This window comes from Homo sapiens, chromosome 5, assembly GCF_000001405.40.
Source record: "Homo sapiens chromosome 5, GRCh38.p14 Primary Assembly".
Taxonomy (NCBI): Eukaryota; Metazoa; Chordata; class Mammalia; order Primates; family Hominidae; genus Homo; species Homo sapiens.
This window is the reverse complement of record NC_000005.10, coordinates 16,430,695-16,441,102: the sequence shown is the minus strand read 5'-3', so window position 1 is coordinate 16,441,102 and position 10,408 is coordinate 16,430,695. Positions and strand designations below refer to the sequence as shown.

Genomic DNA, 10,408 nt, shown 5'->3' with positions numbered 1-10,408 from the left:
GGGGAAGTGGTAATTGTAAGTACAATAGAATTGGATGGCTGTTTCTGAGTGCTATAAAATGAATTAGAGAAAGGGGATGAAAGGATACAATGATTAATTACCAATTTAAGGCTAAGTGTGAAAGCCAGAGGGCCTATGGCAGTTTATAAAGAGCTTCTCATCTCCCGCAGCCAGAAGTAGAAAAAAGCCAGGATCAAGCCTAGAACTTAATTATAAGGCCAGGAGGGCTCCAGAGAAGGTTAAAATTTTCAATCCTAGTAAGTGTGCTATGCCAAGGTCAGGACCCTGACTAGGAAGGAGTGAGATGCTGAGACTTGGAATAAGGATATATGTGTTCCTGCACCAAAAATCTCGAATCTTCAGATTCCCCTCAACCGTCTGGGCCCACTGCTCCCTATTAAAAGCTAGTGCTACCCTTGCTTGAAGAGAGTGCAGGAGCTTTTTCTTGCAAGATAGCGTGTTCTTAAGTCAGGGTTGATCCCAACTCCATTCCTGGACACTAGGCCAGTAAATACAATGGGGATCAGCAACTGCAGTCTCCTGGCCAAATCCAGCCTGCAGTCTATTTTGGTAAATAAAGTTTTAGTTTAATACAACCACATCCATTCAACGACACATTGCCTATGGCTGCCTTCATGCTACAATGGGAGAACTGAGTAGTCACGACAAAGTCCATATGGCCCACAAAACCAAAAATGTTTACTATCGGGTTCTTTACAGGCAAAGTTTGCAGACCCTGAACTAGAGTCAAGTACAATAAAACTTGACAGGAGAAGTGCTGATTGTGATAAGGAAGGAAAAAATAGACACCAAAGAAGATGCAAGACTGAGCCAGCAAGTACTAGCAGGAGTGGAAGAATATATATGGGATGAATCCTGAAGGGCCTGGGTTAAGAAGGATGCAATATATAGTTGGATACTGGAAACTTTATCTATGTGGGAGCACTCCCCTGAGATAGAGAATTTAGCACTCTTCTTGGTTGACTCTTGGGGTATCTTTGTTGACTCTTTTCTTTCTTAGAAATGCAATGATCAACTATGTGGAGGAGATATGTGAGAAATGCCTTAGCAGATGATGAAGAAAGAGATCAAAAGGCTCCGAGAAGCAGGAATGCTACGGTGGATATGCAGTCAGCTCTCTGTATCTGTGGGTTCATTCAACCTCGGACTGAAAATATTCAGCATTTGGGAAAAAAGTGGCATCCCATACTCAACATGTACAGACATTTTTTTCCTTGTCATGATTCCCTAGTCAATACAGTATAGTGACTATTTACATAGCATTCACATGATATTAGATATTATAAGTAATCTAGAGGTGATTTAAAGTGTATGGGAGGGTGTGTGTAGGTTATATGTAAATCCTAGGCCATTTTATATCACAGACTTGAGTATCTATAGATTTTGGTATCCAAGGTAGGTTCTGGAACCAATCCTTTATGGATGCTGAGGGACAACTGTACACTGGTTCTCCCTATCCATGGTTTTGCTTTCCACAGTTTGGTTACCCCCAGTCAACTGTGGGCTGAAAATATTAAATAGAAGATTCCAGAAATCAATAATTTGTAAGATTTAAATTGCACATTGTTCTGAGTAGTGTGATGAAGTCTTGCACTGTCCCCCGCAGGATGTGAATTGTCCCTTTGTCCAGTGGATACACACTGTCAACACTTCCCTCCAGTTAGCCACTTCACCATCTCGGTGATCAGATGGACTGTCGAGGTATCGCAGTGCTTGTGTTCAAGGCACCCTCATTTTACCTAATAATGGCCCCAAAGCACAAGAGTGGTGATGCTGGTGATTCAAATATGCCAAAGGGAAGCCGTAAAGTGCTTCCTTTAAGTGAAAAGGTAAAAGTTCTTAAGGAAAAAAAATTATATGCTGAGGTTGCTAAGATCCATGGTAAGAACAAATTTTTTACCTGTGAAATTGTGAAGAAGGACAAATAAATTTATGCTAGTTTTGTGGTTATACCTCAAACTGCAAAAGTGCCACAGTGCATGTATAGGAAAAAACATCATATATATGGGGTTTGGTACTATTCGCGTTTTCAGGCATCCACCTGTGGGGTGGCCTTGGAATGTATTTCCCACAGATAATGGGGGCCTACTGTACTTTGTAAGACCGAACAATCTACCAGTTCACTGTATTTCACAGGGGCACCCAGAAGGCAACCTTTTACCAAAGCTGTAAGAAATGAGCTGGTGAGAGGGGCAATGTGTCAATGAGAAACTCAATGGTGGCTACCCCCTCTAGGGGAGGGCTGATACTGTATATTGTGCCGGGGTTCTATATAACTGGGATGGTTCTATATAACAGCAGTGGGCTTCTATATAACAGCAATGGGGATGGTAAGATCCCAGATTGATAGAGGCTGGGTGGTAGACTATAGGTAGCAGACCAAGAAGGATGCAATTATTATCATGAATGGAAAGGTTGGAGTGGCAGCCAGGAGTCCTCACCCAAAGAGAGCTGTGGAGATGGTTACTAGACCACAGTGTTATTAAGGGCAAGATACAGGGACACATAAGAATAATGCCAACACTTCACTGAAGAGTCATGGCCAATTTCCAGATCTGAGCCTGTCCTTTGACCCAGAACCTGTTGACTGGAGAGGCTGGTTTGAGGAAGGAGCCTGCTATACTATGGCAAGTGCATATGATAACAGTTCCCCCAGTCTTTACTCAAAGGGATCTGTGGCCACTTACTTGGGTAACTGTTCAATGGGAAAAAGGGCAATCCTAGATATTTCCAGGACTCTTGGGCATAGTCCAATCTCCACTGGTATTCAGGAAGTTTTGTTTCATCCAGGCCCCTTGCTGAAGTGGGAGCTTATGAAGAGTAAGAAATAAGAAGTCCAGACCTAGTTGATTTCACAAGGGATTCTTTGGCTCCATGGATCCACCTGGTGGTCATTTATTCAGTCTCTGGATGTATAATTGAAATCCGTAGTAGTCAGCAGAATCTTCTCATTAGTTCCTTGGTTTGTAGGGCCAACCAGTATGGTCTGTAGTGAAGAGGGCTACATAGAAGCCTCTGAAACTTTCTTACCATGGCCAAGAGAATAAATTAAAAAAAAAAATCACATCCAGGGGAATGGCCAAGAAATCTGGCACTCTAAACATGCTCAACACTACAAGTGGTCCCCATCATGTCCCCATTTAATTATCTCTCTGTCCCCCTTCAGAACCAGGGGTCCTGATAATTGACAGTGGATCTCCATGAAGTCAAGTAATTACTTAATATATCTATTACCACTACCAAATGTCCAACCTGCCAGCAACAGAAACCAACACTGAGCTCTTCAACAAACACAGTCCCCAGAGGAGACTAACCAGCCACTTGCTAGCAACTTGATCACATCAGATTCCTTTCAATCTGGAAATGGCAGTAATTGATTTTGACTGGAATTGACACATATTCCAGAGATGGCTTTACCTTTCCTACCCACAGGGACTCAGGCAGCATGACCACCTGTAAGCTTATAGATTATATGATAAACTGACATGGAATCCTGCATAACGTGACTGTGGACCACTGGCCCCATTTTATAGCAAAAGAAGGACAACAATGGACATATGATGATAGGATAACACCATCCAGAAACTGCCTATCTACTAGAGGTTTTTGACAGCACAGCTAAAGTGCCAGCCTGCAGGTGATACTGTGTCCGGAATTGGTGGGTTCTTGGTCTCACTGACTTCAAGAATGAAGCCGCGGACCCTCACAGTGAGTGTTACAGTTCTTAAAGGCGGCGTGTCTGGAGTTTGTTCCTTCTGATGTTCGGATGTGTTTGGAGTTTCTCCCTTCTGGTGGGTTTGTGGTCTTGCTGGCTCAGGAGTGAAGCTGCAGACCTTCGCGGTGAGTGTTACAGCTCTTAAGGTGGGGCATCTGGAGTTGTCCTTTCCTCCCGGTGGGTTAGTGGTCTCACCGGCTTCAGGAGTGAAGCTGCAGACCTTCGGGGTGAGTGTTACAGCTCACAAAGGCAGTGTGGACCCAAAGAGTGAGCAGCAGCAAGATTTATTGCAAAGAGTTAAAGAACAAAGCTTCCACAGTGTAGAAGCGGACCCAGCAGGTTGCCACTGCTGGCTCGGGCAGCCTGCTTTTATTCTCTTATCTGGCCCCACCCACATCCTGCTGATTGGTTCATTTTACAGAGAGCCGAGTGGTCTGTTTTGACAGGGCACTGATTGGTGCGTTTACAATCCCTGAGCTAGACACAAAGGTTCTCCACGTCCTCACTAGATTAGCTAGATACAGAGTGTGGACACAAAGGTTCTCCAAGTCCCCACCAGAGTAGCTAGATACAGAGTGTCCATTGGTGCATTCACAAACCCTGAGCTAGACACAGGGTGCTGATTGGTGTGTTTACAAACCTTGAACTAGACACAGAGTGCCTATTGGTGTATTTAAAATACCTTAGCTAGACATAAAGGTTCTCTAAGTCCCCACCAGTCAGGAGCCCAGCTGGCTTCACCCAGTGGATCCCGCACCAGGGCCGCAGGTGGAGCTGCCTGCCAGTCCCGTGCCGTGCGCCTGCACTCCTCAGCCCTTGGGTGGTCGATGGGACTGGGTGCCGTGGAGCAGGGGGTGGTGCTCATTGGGGAGGCTTGGGTGCACAGGAGCCCACGGAGGGAGTGGGAGGCTCAGGCATGGTGGGCTGCAGGTCCTGAGCCCTGCCCTGAGGGGAGGCAGCTAAGGCCGGCGAGAAATCCAGCGCAGCGCTGGTGGGCCGGCACTGCTGGGGGACCCAGCACACCCTCTGCAGCCGCTGGCCCCGGTGCTAAGCCCCTCATTGCCCAGGGCCGGCAGGGATGGCCGGAGGCTCCGAGTGCCGGGCGTGCCGAGTCCACACCCACCCGGAACTCGTGCTGGCCTGCAAGCACTGTGCATAGCCCCAGTTCCTGCCCCACCTCTCCCTCCACACCTCCCGGCAAGCTGAGGGAGCCGGCTCCGGCCTCAGCCAGCTCAGGAAGGGGCTCCCACAGTGCAGCAGCCGGCTGAACGGCTCCTCAAGTGCCACCAAAGTGGGAGCCCAGGCAGAGGAGGCGCCGAGAGCAAGCGAGGGCTGTGAGGGCTGCCAGCACGCTGTCACCTCTCAATATGTTGTAAGGACAGGGTGGCATTGAACCAATGCCCGTTATATAGTGCTACGTCTCCAATAGGTGGGATTGATGGCCTCAGGAGACAATGATTGGGGCCTGGTGTGGTGGCTCATGCCTGTAATCCCAGCACTCTGGGAGGCCAAGACTGGTGGATCACTTGAGGCAGGAGTTTGAGACTAACCTGGCCAACATGGTGAAACCCCGTCTCTACAAAAAATACAAAAATTAGCTGGACATGGTGGAGTGTGCCTGTAGTCCCAGCTACTCGGGAGGCTGAGGCAGAGAATCACTCGAACTGGGAGGTGAGGTTGCAGTGAGCCAAGATTGCGCCACTGCACTCCAGCCATGTGACAGAGCGAGAAAAGAAAACAATAAGAAAACAATGATTGGAGTAGGTCTGGCTCCAGTACCATTACTCCCAATGACCTGCTTGAGGAATTTGTGCTTGCTTGTCCTTGCACATTTAGTCTCTCCCAGGTCCTTATCTCCAAGGGGAGAATGCTTCTACGAGGGAACACAAGAATTCCATTACACTTTAAGCTACAGCTGCTGTCCAGTTGTGATCACAGCCACCCAGGTGACTCACTAGGTTGTCTCTTGGTACCCCCTTGCCAGATCTTCATTGTAAATGAGCAAGTGCAGTAGCCATGGCTGGAACTGGTTATGCCACCAAGCCATGTTTTCATGGTAAGGCAGGGCTTAGGGTCTCCTGGGATGAAAATCATGGTCATCCCACCAGGTAAGCCCCCCAGACTACAGCAGTGCTGTTTAAAAGTGTGAAAGCAGAGGAGGGAGATCATGACACCAGATGTAGTCACTGAAAGGGGCTGAGATTTGTCCCAATAACCTTCCTCTTACCAGTTTCCAAAGAAAAATAGATCATTGAGAATCCCATGGAGCTATTCTCAGAGGGGATGAAGTTATTACATGAAGGAGGGAGGCTAAGGGTGGGGGCTGCAATGCGAGGGGAGATACACTCCCCACATGTTTCCTTCAGGATCAAAGCATTCATTTCCAAGCAGTCAGAAGCATTGGTTTCTCACTCCTGCAAAGGTACTCATCCATGAGTTCCTCTTGGGATTGACTCTTGGCCAAAAGGAGCTACTTCTTCCAATACCCACTTCCATGGGTATTGGATTTATGTGAGAATACAAGGGCCTGGCCCCCCTTGCCTAGATTATGAAAGCTCTGAAGGGCCTTTCTGCTTGGTCTTCTCCTGGTATCTGTTGTGGCCTCTTGCAACCGCATCACAGTTCTACTTCTCCGTGTGCCCAATCCTGCTTCCCTCACCCCTCCCAGGTGCTGTTTCTGAGAACATTCCCCAGTAAAGCTCCTGCATGTAACTTTCCATCGCAGAGTCCAGTTCCTGGGAACCTGTCCTGAGAGTGTGACCTGCTTTAAGCATCTTATAAATGCCTCTTATTTTCCTAATTGTTATAATTCTGGGGTTAAAAACAAACCAGTGATTAAGTGTAAATAATTTTTCCCTCACAAACTGAAAATTAAAATATTCAGTAGTTTCATTCAGCTGAAAATATTTTACTGAACACAAAGGGCTTTGTTTCTTTGGGGAGTCAACTCTACATAGCATCTTCCCTTTAATGAGCTTTTGGCATTTCAATCATTTATTTTTAATCAAGTTCTAATCCACTGTTTAGTTAGATATTTCCAAAGTATTTTTACAATGTAGTATGTTTTTAAAATTAGGTCTCCATCTGTCATTATATGGAATGTGTGTGGGCATTAGTGAATGGACTTATTTTTACCCTCTGAATGCTATTATCTTGCTTAACCATATCCCTGGAAAGAAGTGTCATTACAAGTGATCTTTTCTTCCATTTACTCACAATTAATTTTGCTTTGTTTTGTGATCCACAGCTTCAGTTTTCGAAAAACCAAATCAGCACCTTAACCTGTTTAAAGAGGAGCACAGAAAATTGTTCTGCAGAATTTATGTTCTCTTTCCATCTCCAAATTATTTCATTGCCACAACAAAGACATGTTCACTGAGCATATCACAGACCTCTTCATTCTGAATTTCTTAGATTGATAGTTTTGATGCTCCTTCTATTAATACTTAAATTGGTGATGGTGTAAGGTGCCAAAAAATGTAGAAGATGATCAATCTTTTATTTTAATCATCAATTTCAAAACTAATCAGATAATATTGGAGCGATTCCATTTAAAATGCAAATCAGAAATCAGCATATAACATATGGAGTAGGATTTTCTCACATTTTTTTTACAGTTATTTATTCCATATCTTTCTAGTCCTGGCATATATGGAATTTCATTTCTATAGGTTTTGATGTACTCATATGCATCATTTTTTAGGGTTTTTTTAAATTTTATTATGGAATGTTCCAAACATACAGAAAGTAGAGAGAATAGGATAATGAACCTTCATGGACTCATCTCTCAGCTTCAGCAGCTGTCAACAATTTGCAACTCCTGTTTCATCTAATCATCTCCGTCTCCTCTCTCCCTCCCACCACATACAAACACACAGACACACACACACACACACACACACACACACACACACACTTTTTTTTCCTGGAATATTTGAAGCAAATACTAGATATCATATTATTTTCTTTGTAAGTTCTTTATATACATTTAAGCAGCCCGACTTTAAAAAAAAAACCACCTAGGTATTATCATACCAAACAAATAACACAAATATCAAAAATATTCTAATATCAATTCATATTCAAATGTCTTTAATTGTCTGAAAGTTGTTCTTTTACGGTTGGCCTATTCGAATAATATTAATAATAATTTCTCTTAGCTATTTCAGTCTACATTGTCCCTCCTTCTCACTCCTCAATTGTTTTCATGCCATTGAATTTGTTAGAAAAATCAGATTATCCTTTAGATCTACATCTAGATTTGCATAATTGTTTCTCTGTGATGTTTTTAACTTGTTCCTCTGTTTTTTTCTATTTCCTATAAACTGATAGTTAGATCTGAGCCTTAAATCAATTAAGGTTAAAATGCTTTTTAGATTATAATATTTCTGATGCTATGTACTTCCTGTGGAATCATACCATGAACTCATGACATCTGTTTGCTCCACTTTTGGTAATGCCAGGAATCAGTCTTGGTGATGTCAGGATGCTCCATCCTCTAAAAGTCTCCCACAAGTATTTCACCTGTGATTTTAACATTCACTGACGACCATTGACAGATCCAGGGTTTCATGAGGGATTGAAATGGCAATTTTCTTAATCTGTCCTTCCTTCTGCATTAGTTATCCATAATTCTTCGATAAAGACTTATCCTCATCAAGTATTTGGCTGCCCTGAATTACAATTTGTACAAGAAAGGATAAATTCTTGATTCTTTCTATGTATTTATCAATTTTCAGAGTAATGAGTTGGTGCTCTCATAAGCAAGTTTTAAAAAAGTATCATTATGAACTCATTGATTTTTATGTTTAATGATTTAACGGAGAGTGATTATTATTCTTTTGGGTAGCTGCATTGTGTCATTTTGGGATCTTTTTCGTTTGCTTCCTTTTGACGTGACCTATTTAGTCCTTAGTAGCTTCTTGCTTTCTTGCATCTCAAAATGTCCCAGGCTTATCTCGTACATTTCAGATTCCATGTAGATTCCCAAAAGGTGACTTACTGAGCCAAAAGGAATAAGTATTTTTAAGGTAGTTTGACTTAGTGGAAACAGTATGGTCTTTGAAGGTAGGTAGGTCAGGGTTACAGTCTCAGCTCCATTGCTTATGAGCTCTGGGGTTTAGAAAAGGCTTAACCTCCCAAAATGATGATAATAGGAACTCCTATTAGGAAGAGAAAGGTAATAACAGAAAATTATTTTACTCTAGTGTAAATGGAAAAAGCAGAGTTCACAATGATATAAAATGCATAAAGAAGCTATTGTGATCAAATATGCTGCAATGTTGATGGCATCATCTGATGGTGGGAATACAGGTTATATTTCTCTTTTTTATGTCTTATACTGTATTTTTCTACATAACAAAGAATAGAAATAAAAAGATAAGTTTGTTCAAAGAAAAATAAGCCTGTACTGCAAATCCTATAGTGTTGATTAAAATTCATTTAAGATATGATTCATGGCATATACCTTTTGTATCTCTCATGGTCAATTGAATCCACTTGTCCTTTAACAAAATTTAATGCAAATTCTGTAATAAAGAAAAATATTGATGTAAGTATACTCTGCCATCTGCTTCCTTTCTCTATGCCATGCCATATTGATTTCAATAGACCAGGTCAAAACTGAGTGTTGCCTGCTTTCAAGGTTGACCTCTGAAGGTCTCCTACTGTTTCGTCTCCTTGCTCCCTGGGGAGAGCCGCTAAGTCTTTTGTTGACAGCTGAAGGCAGGATGAAATAAAATCTCCATTTGACATGCTTATAAATCAGTTTTCCTATGGGACAAGATTGTTGGTGTTGGGTGCTCATTGAAAATAGTCTTACTGATCAGAAAACTAACACAATTGGTTCTTTATTCACCTGAGGATTCAGATTGACTAATCGAAGATGAATTCATCTTGTAATCTTTTAAAAATATGACAAATGATTAAAAAAACTTTTGTGGAAGATGTCTGCAGAAGTTTCTAATTTAAGATTCAATCTGATTTTCAGAAATGATATTTTGATCTTGGGCTTGAGGGTCATAATTTCCTCTTTAAAATGGACATTAAAATTCAGCACACATTTGGAGTACAAGGAAGGGTGATGATCACAGATAAGTTTTTCTTATAATTTTTTTCTATTTGAATACATCTTATTTCAAAAGAGAATTCTTGCTTTTTAATTTTGGATACAGTGTAGGCTAAATCCAACACTGTGGCATCTTGACTACGGTGGCCTGCTCAATTAATTCTGAACAGTAAATTGCCTTTTACAGGTCTTCAGGTAGCTGGGTAAGAAGCGGCAAGGCAAACAAAGGGTCCTGGTAATTGAAAACAACTGGTAAGGATTGTTTTTCTTTTCTTTCATGTTCTTCCTAATTGATGTGCTGATTTGTATATGAACCTACAGATGAGTCAAACCTAAGCATTCGGCATTGGGAGCACTGTCACTAAAACTGCAGCCTCATTCAACAACACATCCTTATCGAGCACTTGCAGGTACTCCATTGAATGTTAGAAATGCATTGATGATGGAGACACAGCACCGGCTCATGAGGACCTTCCAGCCTAGGCAGCAGGACTGGACATACGCACTTTGGTAGGTAAGAGAATAGCAGAGGCTTCACCAAGTATGATGTGGGAAGTGGGATGGGTGATGGTGGGGAGCCATTCCTCTGGATGGTGTATTAGTCA

At 42.6% G+C, this 10,408-nt stretch overlaps 1 long non-coding RNA gene across 1 annotated transcript in view, besides 1 other annotated feature; it reads left to right on the top strand.

Moving 5' to 3' along the window:
- The window catches only part of LINC02150 (long intergenic non-protein coding RNA 2150), a 67,742-nt gene continuing 57,334 nt past the window's right edge, over positions 1 to 10,408 (top strand). Inside the window, exons 1-6 of the long non-coding RNA NR_104625.1 lie at positions 1 to 15; positions 1,022 to 1,217; positions 1,628 to 1,850; positions 3,188 to 3,729; positions 9,991 to 10,055; positions 10,125 to 10,317. This is a non-coding gene — a long non-coding RNA (long intergenic non-protein coding RNA 2150). The remainder of the gene's footprint in view (positions 16 to 1,021; positions 1,218 to 1,627; positions 1,851 to 3,187; positions 3,730 to 9,990; positions 10,056 to 10,124; positions 10,318 to 10,408) is intronic.
- Positions 4,370 to 4,887: an enhancer, noted in NCBI's record as "H3K27ac-H3K4me1 hESC enhancer chr5:16436325-16436842 (GRCh37/hg19 assembly coordinates)". NCBI's record gives its function as "activates a minimal SCP1, AML or CMV promoter by ChIP-STARR-seq in primed H9 embryonic stem cells {active_cell/tissue: H9 hESC(primed)}" and the evidence as "EXISTENCE:reporter gene assay evidence [ECO:0000049][PMID:30033119]".